This window comes from Homo sapiens, chromosome 21 (genome assembly GCF_000001405.40).
Source record: "Homo sapiens chromosome 21, GRCh38.p14 Primary Assembly".
NCBI classification, from domain to species: domain Eukaryota; kingdom Metazoa; phylum Chordata; class Mammalia; order Primates; family Hominidae; genus Homo; species Homo sapiens.
The window spans coordinates 15,554,374-15,573,950 of NC_000021.9; the positions used below are offsets into that span (position 1 = coordinate 15,554,374).

Genomic DNA, 19,577 nt, shown 5'->3' on the forward strand with positions numbered 1-19,577 from the left:
TTATGAGGCCAGCATCATCCTGATACCAAAGCCGGGCAGAGACACAACCAAAAAAGAGAATTTTAGACCAATATCCTTGATGAACATTGATGCAAAAATCCTCAATAAAATACTGGCAAACCGAATCCAGCAGCATATCAAAAAGCTTATCCACCATGATCAAGTGGGCTTCATCCCTGGGATGCAAGGCTGGTTCAATATACGCAAATCAATAAATGTAATCCAGCATATAAACAGAACCAAAGACAAAAACCACATGATTATCTCAATAGATGCAGAAAAGGCCTTTGACAAAATTCAACAACCCTTCATGCTAAAAGCTCTCAATAAATTAGGTATTGATGGGATGCATCTCAAAATAATAAGAGCTATGTATGACAAACCCACAGCCAATATCATACTGAATGGGCAAAAACTGGAAGCATTCCCTTTGAAAACTGGCACAAGACAGGGATGCCCTCTCTCATCACTCCTATTCAACATAGTGTTGGAAGTTCTGGCCAGGGCAATTAGGCAGGAGAAGGAAATAAACGGTATTCAATTAGGAAAAGAGGAAGTCAAATTGTCCCTGTTTACAGATGACATGATTGTATATCTAGAAAACCCCATTGTCTCAGCCCAAAATCTCCTTAAGCTGATAAGCAACTTCAGCAAAGTCTCAGGATACAAAATCAATGTACAAAAATCACAAGCATTCTTATACACCAATAACAGACAAACAGAGAGCCAAATCATGAGTGAACTCCCATTCACAATTGCTTCAAAGCGAATAAAATACCTAGGAATCCAACTTACAAGGGATGTGAAGGACCTCTTCAAGGAGAACTACAAACCACTGCTCAATGAAATAAAAGAGGATACAAACAAATGGAAGAACATTCCATGCTCATGGGTAGGAAGAATCAATATCATGAAAATGGCCATACTGCCCAAGGTAATTTATAGATTCAATGCCATCCCCATCAAGCTACCAATGACTTTCTTCACAGAATTGGAAAAAACTACTTTCAAGTTCATATGGAACCAAAAAAGAGCCCGCATCGTGAAGTCAATCCTAAGCCAAAAGAACAAAGCTGAAGGCATCACGCTACCTGACTTCAAACTATACTACAAGGCTACAGTAACCAAAACAGCATGGTACTGGTACCAAAACAAAGATATAGATGAATGGAACAGAACAGAGCCCTCAGAAATAACGCCGCATATCTACAACTATCTGATCTTTGACAAACCTGAGAAAAACAAGCAATGGGGAAAGGATTCCCTATTTAATAAATGGTGCTGGGAAAACTGGCTAGCCATATGTAGAAAGCTGAAACTGGATCCCTTCCTTACACCTTATACAAAAATTAATTCAAGATGGATTAAAGACTTAAACGTTAGACCTAAAACCATAAAAACCCTAGAAGAAAACCTAGGCAATACCATTCAGGACATAGGCATGGGCAAGGACTTCATGTCTAAAACACCAAAAGCAATGGCAACAAAAGCCAAAATTGACAAATGGGATCTAATTAAACTAAAGAGCTTCTGCACAGCAAAAGAAACTACCATCAGAGTGAACAGGCAACCTACACAATGGGAGAAAATTTTCGCAACCTACTCATCTGACAAAGAGCTAATATCCAGAATCTACAATGAACTCCAACAAATTTACAAGAAAAAAACAAACAACCCCATCAAAAAGTGGGCAAAGGACATGAACAGACACTTCTCAAAAGAAGACATTTATGCAGCCAAAAAACACATGAAAAAATGCTCACCATCACTGGCCATCAGAGAAATGCAAATCAAAACCACAATCAGATACCATCTCACACCAGTTAAAACAGCAATCATTAAAAAGTCAGGAAACAACAGGTGCTGGAGAGGATGTGGAGAAATTGGAACACTTTTACACTGTTGGTGGGACTGTAAACTAGTTCAACCATTGTGGAAGTCAGTGTGGCGAGTCCTCAGGGATCTAGAACTAGAAATACCATTTGACCCAGCCATCCCATTACTGGGTATATACCCAAAGGATTATAAATCATGCTGCTATAAAGACACGTGCACACATATGTTTACTGCGGCACTATTCACAATAGCAAAGACTTGGAACCAACCCAAATGTCCTACAATGATAGACTGGATTAAGAAAATGTGGCACATACACACCATGGAATACTACGCAGCCATAAAAAATGATGAGTTCATGTCCTTTGTAGAGACATGGGTGAAACTGGAAATCATCATTCTCAGTAAAATATCACAAGAACAAAAAACCAAACACCGCATATTCTCACTCATAGGTGGGAACTGAACAATGAGAACACACGGACGCAGGAAGGGGAACATCACACTCTGGGGTCTGTTGTGGGGTGGGGGGAAGGAGGAGGGATAGCTTTAGGAGATATACCTAATGCTAAATGACGAGTTAATGGGTGCAGCACACCAGCCTGTCACATGTATACATATGTAACTAACCTGCGCATTGTGCACATGTACCCTAAAACTTAAAGTATAATAATAATAACATAAATTTTTTTAAAAAAATGGGTCTAGTTTCTTAAGCAACCCTGGAAAATAGAAAAGAAAAATCTCCCATATTCAGGGTGCTTTTGTATAACAGCTGAGCTGGTTCAAGTGTCCCAGAGAGAATGGGACTGAACACTGTTCATGCTCATTATCGTTTATCTAAAAACTAAAGTTATTGGTTACAGAGCGTTGTTTAGATACTATGGCAATAAATCATTTTTGTGAGCTGCTGTGATGAAACATATATTGTCCTTCAATATAAGCAATCAACAGCAACGGTGTTTCTTGTTCTACTTCAAACTGTTGGTCCCTGGAAAATCTACAGAACAAAATCTCTTAATGTCACAGTATATTATGTGTTTCAGAAACTCTACATGAAATCATTCATGTACATTCATTCTACGTGAATTCTACATTCATTCTACATGAATGAATAAAATGGCAATCAGTAAATGGAAGAGATAAATAGACAATGAAGAAACAAAATTGGCTAATTCACAAGCCAGGTAATCTCTGAGGAATACCAGAGTATGCCACCCTAAAATATGCCTCTTTGGATTATGGATTATTTTGAGCTAAAAGCCATTAAAAACCAGCAGCAGGAAAAGCTCTAAAAATAAAGCACAGATTTTCCTTTTACTGGGGAAGTCTCCATTTATAGAGGTGTCTCCCTCATACCAGGAAGAGGAGGACTCTTAACAACTCTTAACTCTTATCAATGGAGAAAGCACCAATTTAAATCTGCAAACAAATCTTAATAAACAACCCTTGTTTGCCATTCTTTTCTCTTGTCACCTTCCCATAACTTGCCTCCTTCCACCCACAACATGAAACCCTTTTTCTTTAGTCTAAGATGGTATATAATCCTAAATTCTAACCACCCCCGTAGGTCACTCATCTCTGGGTACTCGCGTGTGTAAGCACAACACATGTGTTAATGATATAGGAGTTAAAAAGAAATTATTTAGGCAGATAGTGAGGCTAAGGAAGGTTTTCCTTTTAATAAAAAGCAGCCCCCAAATCATTTTCTTTTCTAACAAAGAGCAGCCTGTAAAATCAAGCTGCAGACATACATATGCAAGCTGGAAGCTTGCATGGGTGAATGTTAGCAGTTGTGTCAGTAGGAAAAGGCTACCTATGACTAGGCATAATCAAAATGGCGGCTCCATCTTCCCTTCACTTTGCCAGCCACATGTACAGTAAGAAGCAGACAAGATGACGCTGGCCAAGTGGAAAGTCCATTTGCATAATAAGATTAGGGTGGTGCAACCAGCCTTCCCTGGCCCCACCCCTCGCTATGTAAACGTCACACCTGGTAGAACCAATCTGTGGCCCTATGTAAATCAGACACTGCCTCCTCATGCCTGCCTATAAAATCTGCTGTGATCTGCTGCAGGCTGGCTTTTCCCTTTCAGACACCTCACTTCAGATAGCTGCTGTCCTCTCTTCTTTCTTCTGCCTATTAAACTTTTTGCTCCTTAACCCACCCACATGTGTCCATGTTCTTAATCTTCTTAGTGCAAAATGATGAACCCCGGGTATTTACCCCAGACAAGGATGCCACTTCACTAATAAACTATTGTTTGTTTTTCTCTTGTTAATCTGTTTTTGGACAGTCTAATTTATAGAGCCCCAGCTGAAGAATCTAAGATGGATAGAGAAAACGATTTTTTCCTCACCTACATCTGTAATTATATTAGTTTGAGGGTAAATATGAAGCAATAATGATCACTACTTGGTAATCTCCTTTACCAATCCTCTGTAATTTGGTAAATTATAAAGCAAAGTTATAGCCAATTCTCATGATTCAGGCTTCTTTTTATAGCATTATGTCTAATATATCTGATTCATGTCTATTGTTTTAGTAATAACATGCCAACCTCATGGAAACCAAAAAGTATCTCAGACAGCTCTCAATCAATTTAGAAAGCTTATTTTGCCAAGGTTAAGGATGCACGCCTGAAAGGCAGGTCTGTGCCTTTCTCCAAAGATGGTTTTGAGGGCTTCAATGTTTAAAGGTGAAAGAGTGGGTATTTGGGAAAGAGAAAGAAATTTTCAAAAGGTGTGGGTAGACAAATGGTTGCATTCTTTTGAATCTTTGATCAGCCTTTCACTGAATACACAATTTACATGTCGGTGGTGTGGAGGAATAGACACTTATGCTGTCATCTGGCTCACTGAATCAGCATTTTTACATCAGAGGAAACAATCAGATATGTGTTTGTCTCAAGTGATCAGAGGGATGACTTAGAGTTCTGTCCTTTGTCCTGCACCTGTAAAGATAAGCTGTCTATTTCACTGTCAGAGTAAAATTCAACAGAACTGTCATAGGGTGAAGATCTTGAAGTCCACAAGGAATTTCCTAGTGGGCAAATTGTGAGGGAGGTATATACTTTGTATTTTTGTAGCTATCTTATTTAGGAATAAAATGGGAGGTAGGTTTGCCTGATGTGATTCCCAGCTTGACTTTTCTGTTTGGCTTAGTGATTTGGGGGTCCCGTATTTTCCTTTCACACTCACAGTAAAATTTTAATACCCTCAAAATCTGCAGGACAAAACTCACACATAAAGCTCCTTGAGAAGTTACTAGAGGTTAAATGGGTCCGAAGGGCTCTTTCCATTCTAGGAGAAGGATCATGATACTATGATAAGGTCACTAATATCAGCATCATTTATTTATTTAACAAATAATATTGAGTACCTGTGGTGGATTTATATCATGTCAACTTAGCTAAGGTGTAACCACAGTTTTCAGACTTCCCTTCACTGCATAATTCCAAGTTAGTATGGGCCACAAATGACATTTGCAAAAACTGAGAAGTAGAAGTGAAACAGCAGCCTTAAAAAATAAAACTAATAGTTGGAAGATTTGCTCAGGTCCACTAGGCACCACTGCAACTCATGTACGTTGCGCCCATCTGCTGGCTTGCCTTGAAGATGTAGGAGCCAAAGGGAAATGACCTATTTGCACTTTGAAGTTTCACTGAAAATCAACTGACAAAGGCAAAACAATAGCAGAGAAGGCTTGCACAATTTTATTTTAACATGCATAGCACAGGTGATTCTCAGGAGAATGATTACCCAATAACCCAATGAGGTACAGAAGCTTATATCCTTTTTCACAGGGGAGAGGGGAGAATGGGGAATGTGGACAATGCTTCTCAGAGACAGCAAATGATTCTTAAGGAGAAGAAATGGACAGAAATTAACTTGTAAATGATTGTCTTTGGAATTCGAATGAGCCAGAAAAGCAGGCATTCTCTTGTGAAAAATCCATTCTAGTTGCATTCCTCAGTCTTCTTTTCTGAAAGAGACAGGGGGACTTCAGGGAGAGGAAGAAGGCAATCTTGTTCATTTTGGAAATAAGATTTCATGGTGAAATAAGAAAATCCCAGAAAATCCCAGAGAATCCCTTCTTGTGCTTGGGCACGAAGCGGGGTTGGGGGAAGAAGACAATATTAGAGGGACCTGGATTCTGAGGCAGCTTCTAAGGCCTCTCAGCATGTCAAAGTGCCAATCTTTGCAGTTTTATTTTCCAAGCCCCAATAATAGCATAGGGCAGATCCCACTCCTAGTTTTTCTGCTCCTATCGGACACCCCGTCAACTCTCTGACAAGCTTCTTCAACTCCCTGTTCAGGTGAATATTTAGTTCCATGACAAAGGGCTCAAACTTTGATTGAAGGTCACCCCTTCAGCATTGAAACTGGAGGTTTGGAAAGACTGACAGAGTTCTAACTCATCCATTGGAGTTCCAGCTCATTCTCGTGGGTTCCAATTTCTCCTTGCTCTTCACCACTTTGCCTTTGTCTTTTCTTCACAGGTGGCTGCCTTCCTGATTCAGACTTCAGAATCAGGCACAAAGACAATAGACTCTGTTAGACCATTTAAGCAACTTCCAAAATTACATAAGGCCAGTTGGAATTTTTTCTTATAAAAGGCAAACCAAAACCAAAACCACATTTTTCTCTCTACTCTCACTCTTAACACAGAATGCCTCTGTGACCAAACGCGTGGGTTTTTTTTCCCCTCAACACATCAAGCAATTCTTTAGCAGACACCAGTTGGGTGTCCTATAACTCAAATCAATTCTGACACTGTGTGATCCCACAGGTTAAGAGTCAGATCCCACAGGTTAAGAGCTCAATCCCACAAAACTGCCGCCCTACCTTAAGATGCCAATTGCAAGGCCCAGGTTGTGACCTGTAATCCTGATCAATGGCTATAGCAACTGGGATTCCCACAGTCTGCCTCCTTGTGTTCCATAATTTGCTAAGACAGCTCACAGAACTGAGTGAAAGACTTTACTTACATTTACTGGTTTGTTTTAAAGGATATACAGGATATGGATGAACAGCTAGATTTAAGAGATGGCTACAAGTCTGGGGTAGGGGATGTCACAGTTTTCATCTTTCTCTCGGTTTGCCACCCTCTCAGCACCTCCACATGTTCAATAACCAGGAAGCTCATTAAATCTCGTCGTTCAAGAGTTTTTATAGGCTATAATCTCCAGCACCTTCCATCAGGTCAATGGGTGGGGTTGAAAGTTCCAACCCTTTAATTCTTTAATCCCTTGGTCTTTCTGATAACTGGCAGCATCTTGAGGCTATCCAGGGGCTCTATCCTAAATTGAGATATTAGGATAAATACAGGTGTGATCAAAGGGGGTCCATGAATAACAAAAGACACTCTAATTACCCAGGAAATTCCAATGGTTTTAGGAACTAGGTGACAGTAACTGGGTACACAGATCAAATGTATTTCATTCTTAAGGGCTCTGTTTTGTCATACTGAACCTTGACTCATACAATGCCCACCATGTACCTAGCACTGATCGTATGGATATAAAATAAAAATTAATTTTATATTCTGATCATACAGATATAAAAATTAAGCCAATCTAGTGAAGAAGTCTGTGTTAGTTTGTTAGGGCTGCCATAATAAAATATCACAAACTGGGTGGCTTAAACAACAGAAATTTATTTTCTCACTGCTCTGGAGGCTGGAAGTCCAAGCTCGCGGTATCAACATGTTTAGCTTCTCCTGAGGCCTCTTTCCTTGGCTTGCAGATGCTTGTATTCTTTCCGCGCCCTCACACAGCCTTTTCTCTGTGTGCGTTCCTGGTGTCTTTTCCTCTTTTTATAAGGACACTAGTCCTATTGCATTAGGGACTCACGTTTTCTACAGCAGATACACGTGTCGGCAATAACTTAAGCATATGCTGAGAATGACCCTGTAGTCTAAGAAGAATGTGTGTTCAGAGTTCTGAAACCCTGGCCTTTCCCTTAGAACACAGGCTGTCCAGCGGATTGAGGCCCTTTGTTTTGGGTTAAATAGTGATTGCTAGATGGATGGTACTGTGTGAAAATACTGTATGAACTGCATGCTTTTTACAAATGGTAGCACTTCTCCTGTTCAGCTCGCTGCCACTGGACTGTCCCTGAAAGCAAGTTCCCCCAAAGAACCCTGTGTCTTATTCCTTGTCTCCAGGTCTCTTCTTCAGCCTCTCAGACACAGTGCCATCCCTATTGGAGTAAATAGGGGTTCAGGATGACACCTTTATGACCTCGTTTAATCTTTATTACCTCTTTAAGGAACCTATTTCCAATATAGTCACATCTGAGGGTTAGGGCTTCAACATATGAGTTTGAGCCGGACACAATTCTTTCCATGACAAAGGCAAGTAAATAGGAAAGTATAATTGCACCTGAAATATGCTAGATGCAATTATAAAATGTCATGGAAATCCATACAAAAGAAATATAACACAGTTCTGGAAATGTAAATTCAGAGATAGAGTGATTATATAATGTATTATTCAAATAGGGACACTTGTAAGAGTGAAAAGGTGTATTAAAAAGAATTTAAAGGCACTAATTATTTTTAAGCAGGCATAATCTAGAACTTTCCCAGGAAAAGTAGGAGACATATGCACCCTATTCAAAGAAGACCTAATGGAAGAAATACCATCTAAACTGAGACCTAAAGGAGGAAGGGAAGTTGAGACAAAGGTGAGAAAGAAGGGAGTGTACTCCAGGTGAGCAGGCAGAAAGAACATAGTCAGCAGAAAACAATAAGCTGGAGAAACAGTGTGCCATGTTTGGAAAACTGCAAGAGATTTCACATGGCTGAAATTATGGGGGCAGAAGGTGTCAGGCAAGAAGCAAGGCTAAGCAAGATTTAGAGGATAACAGAATTCCTTAAAGAGTTTGGACTTGGTCTGTAGCAGGTGTGGGCCATTAGAGTTTCAGTCATGGAAGCAGCATTGTTTAATTCACATTTTTTAAAGATCTCTCAGATTCGATCAAGACAGCAGACTCCGTCAATTCCTGACTCTTACCAAATACCTCTTTTCCCCCAGGGACAAAGAGCATCATCCAAAAGGCCAAATAAATAACAGCCATGGGAAACAATAAGGAATTCAGAAATGGAAGATTTGCATAAAAACAGAAATTAAACAGTATCAGATAGACAAAGAAGCCACAGGCCAGTGTATGAACAAGAGAGAAAAAGAGGTAAGAGAGAACCTTTTACCTCTTTTCATAAGGGTGTCCCAACCTTATGTGGAAGAGATACAGGACAAACATCAGTGCAGAACACTGAGGAACTCTATTTAGAGCAGCTGAGCAGGTCGGCCTCTACTCCTAATCTCCTCACTCCCAGATCTGAGGGGACTAAAGAGTCAGCTTCCAAGGGCTCTCGTTAAAGATGGGCAATTTGAGTGTCAATAATGATAACTACAATAGATTGAAGTGCATCACATAAGCTTCCGTCTATAATGATACTTTGATAACACAAATTAGCTGCCACCAAAGGATACCAATAAATTGTTTTAAAACTGTTAAATAAAGGGAAAGATTCAAGCATTTATCTTGCTTTTTCTATATGAACTGTACCAAAGGGTAAACAATACTAGATGGGATGTTTCTCTTTATAGAAATACTTCAGCTAATAAATGAGGAAGGAATAATTTAATTAGTACATAACCATTTTACAACTATAAATGAGGTAACGGAGTAGGTATTGATAAGCAATAGCTGCTAAAACCATGAAAGTAAACCCAATGGACATTATGTGCCTCTGAATAGGAGAACATAATATTACCTACGAATTAATTTTGCTAAAAGAAAAAGTTAAACCTGAATCTAATTAAACATCTAATCAAACCTTCAGACCAATTACTAATGTGCAGGAAATTTAGAATGATAGAGGTTACAGTCAGAAAATCAACAAGACAAATGACCTATTTTTCTTAACAAACAAATTACAAAAATAAAAAAGAAATGGAGAAAGACTACAGATTAGAAGAGTAATCAGAGACATGCCTATCAATCACAATGTGTGGACCTTATTTATACCTTGATTTAAAAAAATCAACTGTACACCAAAATTGCGATATTTATGTCACAGTTGCACACCTAGATACTGACTCAATATATGATGACTGAATAGTTTGAGTTTGGAATAAATGAGGAGACGAGGCAGTTGCATACATAAATCCAAAGCTCTTGACAGACATCTGAACTGGGGAAACATATGTAGAAGTCGGAATCAACTATGAATTCTTGCTGAACACACATGAGCTGATGAGCTACAAAGCTGTGTTTGAAGCTGGGGTTATCAACTTCTGCACTACTGAGGTTTGGGGCCAGCCAATTCTGCGTTGTGTATTATAAAATGTTTAGGTATATCCATAGCCTCCACCCAACTAGATGCCAGTAGCATTCCCACACGCAGTAGTCACAACCAAAAATGTCTACAGATATTACCCAATGTCCCCTGGGGGATAGTGGGGGCAAAAGTGACCCCAGTTAAGAACCAGTGGTATGGAGTAAAAAGAGAAGAGGGCAGAGAATGAAGCCTCAAGGAGTCATACAACTCCATCATTCACTTACAATTCCATGACTAACTGTGACCATCTTTCCAGACCCCAGTATTCTTATCTACAAAATGGACATGATATAATCTAATTCACGAAATAGGTGTGGCAATTATTTAATATTGAAAACACTTCTTAAAGTGAGAGCATATTCAAAGTGCCTGCCTTTGTAAGTGTCCATTACTGTGGGCCTCTTATCTCTTCCCTTCTCCCTTAAAGCTGTTAGTCCAGTTTAGCTCCACGAAACTCCAGAACAACATTTATCCTCTTATCAGTCTCTTAGGAAACCTGGATCTTTGACTTTGTAGCTACAATGCGGAAGCAATCCTGATTCTGTGAAGCTGCTTAAGGATTGCCAAGTTTCACCCACTTCCTAACCCTCCACAGGAAGGTACTTTGCATAAGTAAACTAGCAAGCAATCTCAAAAGTAAAGACAAGATGTTGTTCTTCCTGGAATTCAGTATCAGAGCCCACTCTTACACCTTCCCGAGAGCTTTCTCAATATGATTAAGAAACACGTCCTCACTGGAACTCCTTGGATGAAAAAGTAGACAAAAATGTATATTCTCAGTGAATTGAAAAGATTTTGCCAGGAGAAAGTTACCCTGCTGTAAAAGAGGTTCCCTTTCTTACTTAGGTTTTGAGAAAGGGGCCTGAAGTTTGTGCTTTACCTCTGTTTACCCAACATGATTTCCTTTCAGCAGTTATAACTCCCTTATTAAGAGCTTTACTGAGATATAATTCTTACACAATACAATTCAATCATTTAAAGTGTGCAATGCAAGGATTCATGGTATATTCACAATTGTGTACACCGTTACTGTAGCTAATTTTAGAATATTTTCATCACCGTAAAAGAAAACCTGTTTAGCCATCATTTTCCTACCTCTTTATCCCCCAATCCAAAGTAACCACAGATCCACTTTCTGTGCCTATAGATTTGCCTATTCTGGATATTTCTTATAAATGGAATCATAATATGTGGTCTTTTGTGTCTGACTTCTTTCACTTATGAAAATATGAAAAGCATAAAGTCTTCAAGGCTCTTCTTTGTTGTAGTATGTAACCGAATTTCATTCCCTTCTATGGTCAAATAATATTCCATTATATGGATATATCACATTTTGTTTATCTTCAGCCAACAACTAGTAAGAAAATGAGGATCTCAGTCATACAAGTTCAAGAAAATGAATTCTGCCAATAACCTAAGAGAGCCGGGAAACAGATTTCCCTAGCTGAGCCTCCAGATGAAAATGCAGCCAGCGGACACCTTGATTGCATCCATGAGACACTGAGCAGAGAACCCAACTAAAGCATGCCAGATTTCTGATAATAAATTAATATTATTGCAAGCCACTATATTAGTGGTTATTTTCTATCCAGCAAAGAAAACTAATACAACTAATACAGTGGCAAATGTCATTGTGTGTGTGTGTGTGTGTGTGTGTGTGTGTGTGTGTGTGCATGTGTGCATGCGTAGCTTTGTGTGCATGCATAATTTGTGCACTAAGAGAATTTAGTGGCTTTGAAGCACGGGCAGGACCTAACACATATTCTTGCTGTTGTTCTATATGCCTTTTGTATACCTATCATTGACTTATGTTTTATATCTAAATAGCTCTTTTACTACACATCTTTCATACACATCTTCTATAATTAAATAAATTGTTAAGATTCTCATCTTGATGATAATGCAGTAACCTGCACAAGAGATTTGCTTGTTGATTTGTTTTGTCCTGAGAGGTAGAGTTCTAAACCCTTAAACCTTGCAAATGCTTTTCTGTTTTGAGTCCCAAATTGCACTTTTAAACAGAATGAGAGGTAGAAGAAATCAGAGATTAGATACAAAGAGACTTAAAGTTCCTAGGGGAGTGGTAAACCTAAAAGAAAACCTGCAGTTTGTCTGTGTAACCCACAGACTATTTAAATGTGGGTGTTATTGTTTAGTTAGCACAGTATTATGTAAGGGCCTAAAACAATTTTATTCTGGTGATTTCAGAGTACAGTGTGGTATATATCTGTGTCATCAGATTGCAGTCAGAATAAAATACAATGCAAGATAAACTCCAATCATTTTTTTCATTGTGGTGTTAGCCCCAAAGCTCCCCCATTTTACCCAAAGACAAATGGACAACAAATGGTGTTCTGTTATTGGTACAGAACTCAAACTGAATGGGATTTATCAGGATTTTGTGTCTAATCTCTCTTCTTAAGGGCTCTGGCTGTTAGCTTTGACGAAGAGAATGGAAACCAGATGTTTAGATACCAGAGGCAGAGTTCCTAGGTTAAAAACAAAGTTTAAAAATGCCTTTTATTTTTATGTATTTTCATATGTCATTCTAAGTATGAACATTTCTCACTGATATTAGTGGATTTGAATTATGGATTAAATAGCCAACCACTCCCCAAATAAAACCAAACTGTGTTAACTACATCTTTAGCAATAAGTATATCTGTCCTTGTTATTACAGAAAATAAAGCCAGTACTGAAATTTCTAAATAATACTAATAAAAAACATATTCAAGAAGTAGAACACTTTTATTTAAAAATTCCAGTAAAATGCATTCCCTCCTTGCATGGAATTTTTCTGCTCATGAAAACACTTTCAAAGCCTCCAGCTGTTCCTGATTATTTTCCCCCATCAGCTCCACACTATCATCTTAAAAAGGCACAATAGGACTTTCCCAAATAATCACAATGCATGATGAAACTACTTCTACAGATCTAAGAACTCCAGCAAAGAATTTGTAGGGGATTACTATCTCATTTTCCAAAAGTGTCTTATTCAGATGTAGCTACAACCACCCTACAGTTAGAGCAATAATTTTTTTCTTGTCACACTTCAGGGGGTCTCCAGTTATGTTAACAACTGTCATGAAACTCTAAAAGAAAAAAAAAATTAATGTATACTTGCTCTCATAAACAAAAGACTAAAATGTATTCTATTATCCTTAGGAGTAGAAAGGAGAAAGAGTTCCTGAAATCAAAAATTGAATAATAAGATCATAATTGCAAAGAGTTGGCCAGTCTAGATTAGGGAAGTGACTCAATGTTCTACTTCATTTTCTGCTGCTATAACAGAATACCACAGATTGGGTAATTTACAAAGAACTAAAGTTTATTTGGCTTATGGTTCTGGAGGCTAGGAAGTCCAAGAGCATGGCACTAGAATCTGGTGAGGGACATCCCATGGCAGAAGGCATCACATAGAGTGTGAATCTGCAAGACAGAGACAAACAGAGCAAAATGGATTCTATTATCAGGAGCTCACTCCCGAGGCAACAACATTAATCTATTCATGACGGCAGAGTACTCACTGACCTAATCACCTCTTAAAGACCCCACCTCTTAATACTGTTACGATGACAGTTAACTTTTTTACACATGAACTTCTTGGGGACACATTTACATCATAGCACTCTCAAACCTAGCTGATCATAAAAATTGCTTGGAAACAGGTTTAAAACTCATATTTTAAGGACCCTTAACATGCCTTCTAAATTGGAACTCTTGAGAGTCACCATTCATAAAGCAGTTTCCACGTATTTCAGATGCAGCTCATCTGTCACCAGAGTTTGGAAACCACAAAATTGAGGGGTGTTTAAATATTCCCAATGGTTTGTTAAAGTGTTAATTATCATGTAATACCTGATAATAATCTACTCAAACATTTAAAACACAGACTTTGGTCTGAATACTTGCATATAACTTCTGACTCCCCAAAATCCCCAATGGAATGACCAAAGGAATTCAAAAATTGTGGGAAAATTGTATCAGCTCTGAAAATCATAGAAGGAGACCAAACTATTATGAAAAAGTAAAGCAATTCCTGCAGAATATATTGTAAGCAAGAAAATTGAGAGAACTGCTGACCAAGTCACAATTCCCACACTGACTCCAAGTTGATAGCAGCAGGGCATTAGGACAAAGTAGGAGGTACTGGAGGGAAGTTACAAATCTGGAGCTGACAAGGATGGGATTACTCTGCATAATTTTTCCCCAGTTTACTATTGAATCATACAGCAAGCCAAGTAGAATAGGGGCAATGCTACAACTAGTCTCAAAAGAGAAAGGCTGTGACAGTCAGAGAACAGGCACATTATTCCAGCAATAAAAGTGAATTTAATCTCTTTGGCTTAAGAATAAGACTTCTTGATGTTGCTGTCCACACCCCCACCCAGCCTTAATTTATATCCTATTCTTCAGAGGTCATCACCTTATAATTTTTCAATGTAAAACTACAATAGCGTTAACTCTTCCTTCCTTTTCCTTTTTAATTTCCTTCATTTTTTTTCTTCCTTCCTTCCTTTTTTACTTTCTTTCTTCCCCTGTTTTTTTATTCCTTCTCTTCCCTCCTCTTTATTCCTGCTTTATTTTTTATTTTGTCCCAAACTGTATCTGTTTAAAAGAAGTCACATAAATCTCCAAATATGGACAAACCTAGAATGTCCTCCAACATTCTATTTACCTAGTCACTCCTTCATTCCCTATCCCATCCATGTGTTATTTGCAAGAAGCAAAGAGAAAATTCTAAAGAGAGTCAATAGTTAGAAGGCAGTCAATCTGAGAAGGCAGACAAAATATTTCCTAAGAATGGTTTTATTAATAAAAGCTAGGAAAAACTATAGAAAATATCCAATGTGTACTTTCAAGAAGATTCAAGAGAACATTTTGTGTATGAAGTAAAAGCAAGAAGTCATTAAAAAGGTAGGACCTGAGAGCAGAAAAAGTTGCTTTGAGATGAAAAATATGACCATGAAATTTCTAATGTAATGGAATTTGTGAATACAAGAGGAGATTCTGTAGAATTGGAATCAATGGATTAGAAAAATAAGCTAAATAACTTCTTCCAGAACTTCTAAAAATGTAAAAACAATGCTGCCAAAGAAGTAAAAATTTAGAGGAAATATCCAGGAGATCTAAAATAAGTTTTATAAGAAGTCTAGAAGGACACAGGAACAGAAAACCGAATACCACATGCTTTCATGTGTAAGTGGAAGCTGACTGAGGGGAACACATGGGCACATGAGAGGGAACAACACACACTGGGTACCTATTGGGGGTGTGGGGCAGAGAGCATCAGGAAGAATAGCTAATGGATGCTGGGCTTAATTTCTAGGTGATGGGATGATCTGTGCAGTAAACCACCATGGCACACATTTACCTATGTAACAAACCTGCACATCCTGCACATGTACCCCTGGACTTAAAATAAAAGTTGAAAAAGATAGATGTCTAGAAAGAAAGAACTTGGCAGATAGAGCAGCAAAAATTAAAAAAAAAAAAAAAAAGGAAGAAGCAATAGAAAACTTAGCAGAGCTGAAGAAAGTCATTTGACTAGAAGTGTAGAGGACATGTTTAATGTCAGGTAAAATTAATTAAAGCAGAGTTAAGCCTGATATATTTTGATGAAATATTTCATTTCAGCACTAAAAACAGAACCCTACAAGCATCAACACAGGGGTGCCAGCAGGGAAGGGCGAGGACAAGTGACTTACAAAAGAAATCCTCAAATTGGCACCAAGTTTTTCACAATACTAAATGCCAAAGGATCATGGAGAGTTGCCTTCAGAGTCTAAGAAAATCAATTTAAGAACCAGGAATTCCATACCTAATTGAGCTGACATATATACAAAAGACAAGAAAAGACACACGCCCGTAATCCCAGCACTTTGGGAGGCCGAGGCGGGCGGATCATCTAAGGTCGGGAGTTCGAGACCAGCCTGACCAACATGGTGAAACCCCATCTCTACTAAAAATACAAAAATTAGCTGGGCGTGGTGGCACAAGCCTGTAATCCCAGCTACTCTGGAGGCTGAGGCAGGAGAATCGCTAGAACCCGGGAGGCAGAGGTTGCGGTGAGCCGAGATCGTGCCATTGCACTCCAGCCTGGGCAACAAGAGTGAGACTCCATCTCAAAAAAAAAAAAAAAAAAGAAAAGAAAAGAAAAGAAAGACAAAACATAATCACTATGTTCCCTTCCAAAACATTACAAAAAGAAGGGAACAGCTGAAAGAGACAAAGGCAGTAACGAAAATCTAAGAAGGGGGAAGACAGTAGTATAATAACACGTAGTGTTTACCCAGTGGTTACTATGGGCAAAGCACTGTTCCAAATACTTCAGTAACCCACTCAAACCTCACAATAACCCTATGAAATAGACTCTGTTGCTATACCCAGTGCAGAGGACAATACAGTTTTAGAGAAATCAAGGAACTTGTTCACAGTTATAGGGCTAGCAAAATGGTGCAGCCAGGAGTTAAGTCCAGAGAGTCTGAGCACCACATCTGAGTGCTTAACCACTAGGCTACGCAGCTCCTCGAAAGGAAAATGAAAGGAGAGCAAAAATAGAAAACGTAAAGGAGGAAGCTCCAAAATAATTATTAAAAATGAATCAATAACAAAAGTATTGAAATACATACCTCTTATGAAAACAAATGACTCTCCAAGCCTTAAAAAAGAAGAAAATCCTGCCTTTTGCAACAACCTGGATGAGCCTGGAGGACATTACGCTAAGTGAAATAAGCCAGGCACAGAAAGACAAATATTGCATGATCTCACACATGTGGAGTCCAAAAAAGTCAAACCTAGAGAAACAGAGAGTGGAAGGGTAGTTACCAGGACCTGGGAGATGGGGAGAAAGGAAAGATGTTTGTTAAAGGGTATAATTTTTCAATTATAACATTAATAACTTTTGAAAATCTAATGTAGATTATGGTGACTATGGTTCATAATAATGTATTATTAGCTTGAAATTTGCCAAGAGAGTAGATTTTAAGTGTTCCCACCCCCAAGAAAGGTAACTATGTGAGCTGATATGTTAATTAACTTAATTTTGAGAATCATTTCACAATGTATATGTATATCAAATCATCACATTATACACTTTAAGTATATGCAATTTTTATTTGTAAATCGTACCTCAATAAAGCTGGAAAAAATTCTTAAAAAAAAAGAAATATATGACTCTTCGGAAGTGTAAAGAACTTAAATCACAGAAAGGTTAGAAATAAAGAGACGAGTAAATATACGCCAGGGAAATGCAAATTTAAAAATACATGTGTCAATCTCAGAAAAGGTAAAATTCAAATTAAACATAAACAGGACAGAGAGAACTATTTTCTGTTCATAAAAAGGAAAATCCAGAATGAATTTGTAAAAGATAAAAACTTTGTATGTGCTATGTACCATGGCACTTCAAAAAAACAGCAAAATCCAATGAAACAATAAAAATTACATTGTAGTCGTGGCAAAAAGCATTTAATGTTTTCTCAGTCTTTGGCTAATCAAGACAAAAGTTCAGTATATAAAATAATTGACTATTACAAATCGTCCCTTGGTATCCAAATGGGATGAGTTTCAGGACCATCTGGGATACTAAAATTCATGCATGCTCAAGTTCCTTATATAAAATGGTGCAGTATTTGTATGTAACCTACGCATATCCTCCCACATTCTTTAAATCATCTCTATATTACTTACAATACCTAATACAATGTAAATGCTATGTAAATTGTTATTATGCTATATTTTCTTATGAATTATTTTTTATTTTTTTTTAATTTTCATCTGAAGTTGATTGACTCCAAGGCTGCAAAATCCATGAATACAGAGGTCTAATTGTATATTTAGTATGTTAATTTTATGGATATGAAAGTAATAATATAACAATATAGAGATACATGTAAAAGAGGGTCGTGATTAAGGACATTGGCTGCAGAGCTGTATAACCTGAATTTCAAACTTATTTCCCCCACTTAACTAGCTCAGTCCTTAGACAATACACTTACCATCTTGCTACCTCAGTTTCCTTCTATCCTCCCTTATAAAATGGATGGTATCATTGTTATGATAATTAAAGTCTATACATATAGTACAAAAATTAGTGTCCAGCCCATAATAAATAATTACTATGAGCTGCTATAATAACTAATGATGTATATATATATATATATATATATATATATGGAATTTTGAGTTTTACGAATAGAGAATATTCTTTCTTTCCAAATATTTTAGGGATATTTTACAAAAAACAGTAATATAATATGCCACAGGAAAGCACAATAAATTATTTAATGTGGAAATTACATGGACCACATATCTAAGTATACTAAAACTCTAATAATAATAGTAAACAAAAAATCATCCTACAAAGAAATTTTAAAACACCCTCCTAAGAAATTTTTGGGTAACAAAAGAAATCAAAACTGTACTTTAACTTATCCAGATAATTCTAGATTGTATTCTAGATTCTAGAATATAACCAATTAAGTGTCTATATATCAAACCTAGGTGATTATAGTAATACAATAAAAGTTTTACCATACAACAATGGAGATGTCATCTTTGTAACTTTAGAACAAGAATTTTTAAACAAGAAATAAGACACACCTCTTCAAAGAAAAAAGTGATGCACTGGACAATGTTTAAATTATAAAACTATGTTAATCAAGGACACCATTGAGAGAGTGAAAAAACAGCTACCATAGAAGAAGATACTCATAATGTACATGTGTAACGAAGACTTCAGATCCAGAAAAAAGAACACTTAAAAATCAGTAGGAGAAAACAAAAGAAAAATAGACAAGAAACTTGAACAGTTACTTCACAAAAGAAGTATCTAAATGGCCAATAAACTATGAAAAAATACTAACTTTTCATGTCATCAGAAAAATGCAAATTAAAACCACAGTGTGAGACCATTGCCCACCCACCAGAACGGCTAAAATTTAAAAGAACAATCAATACTAAATTTTGTCAAGGATATGGAGTAACCAAGTATCCCATACATTGTTAGTAGAAATGAAATTAGTACAACCAACTTGGAAAACTGTTCAGAGTATCTATTAATGTTGAAAATACATATTCCAAGTATATCCCCACCAAGACATGCATCCATATGTTCACCAAAAGACGTCTACTAGAAAGTTCATAGCAGCAATATTTATAATACTCTGTAGTTAGAAATGACCCATCAACAGTAGAATGGATGAACAAATGGTGATGTATTCACAGAATAAAATAATATATAGCTATAAGAATGAATACATTATAATTATACATAACAATATGGCGGAAGCTCACAAATAATATTGAGCCAAAGAAGCCAGATGCAAAGACTACAAACTATGATTTCATTTATACAAAGAGCAAAGGAGGCAGAATTAATCTATGCTAT

General features: G+C 37.4%; 2 long non-coding RNA genes across 3 annotated transcripts in view; one reads left to right on the forward strand and one right to left on the reverse strand.

Moving 5' to 3' along the window:
• Positions 1-19,577, reverse strand: part of LOC105369302 (uncharacterized) — a 104,389-nt gene that overhangs the window by 31,502 nt on the left and 53,310 nt on the right. The window contains exon 3 of one of the 2 annotated variants that reach the window (XR_937594.3): positions 16,819-16,983. The exons of the other annotated variant lie outside the window; for it this stretch is intronic. This is a non-coding gene — a long non-coding RNA (uncharacterized LOC105369302). Of the gene's footprint in view, positions 1-16,818; positions 16,984-19,577 lie in introns of those variants that run through there. 2 annotated transcript variants of the gene reach the window in all.
• On the forward strand, positions 8,887-11,751 carry LOC124905056 (uncharacterized). The gene is made up of 2 exons (XR_007067935.1): positions 8,887-9,030; positions 11,534-11,751. It is a non-coding gene; the product is annotated as an uncharacterized LOC124905056 (long non-coding RNA).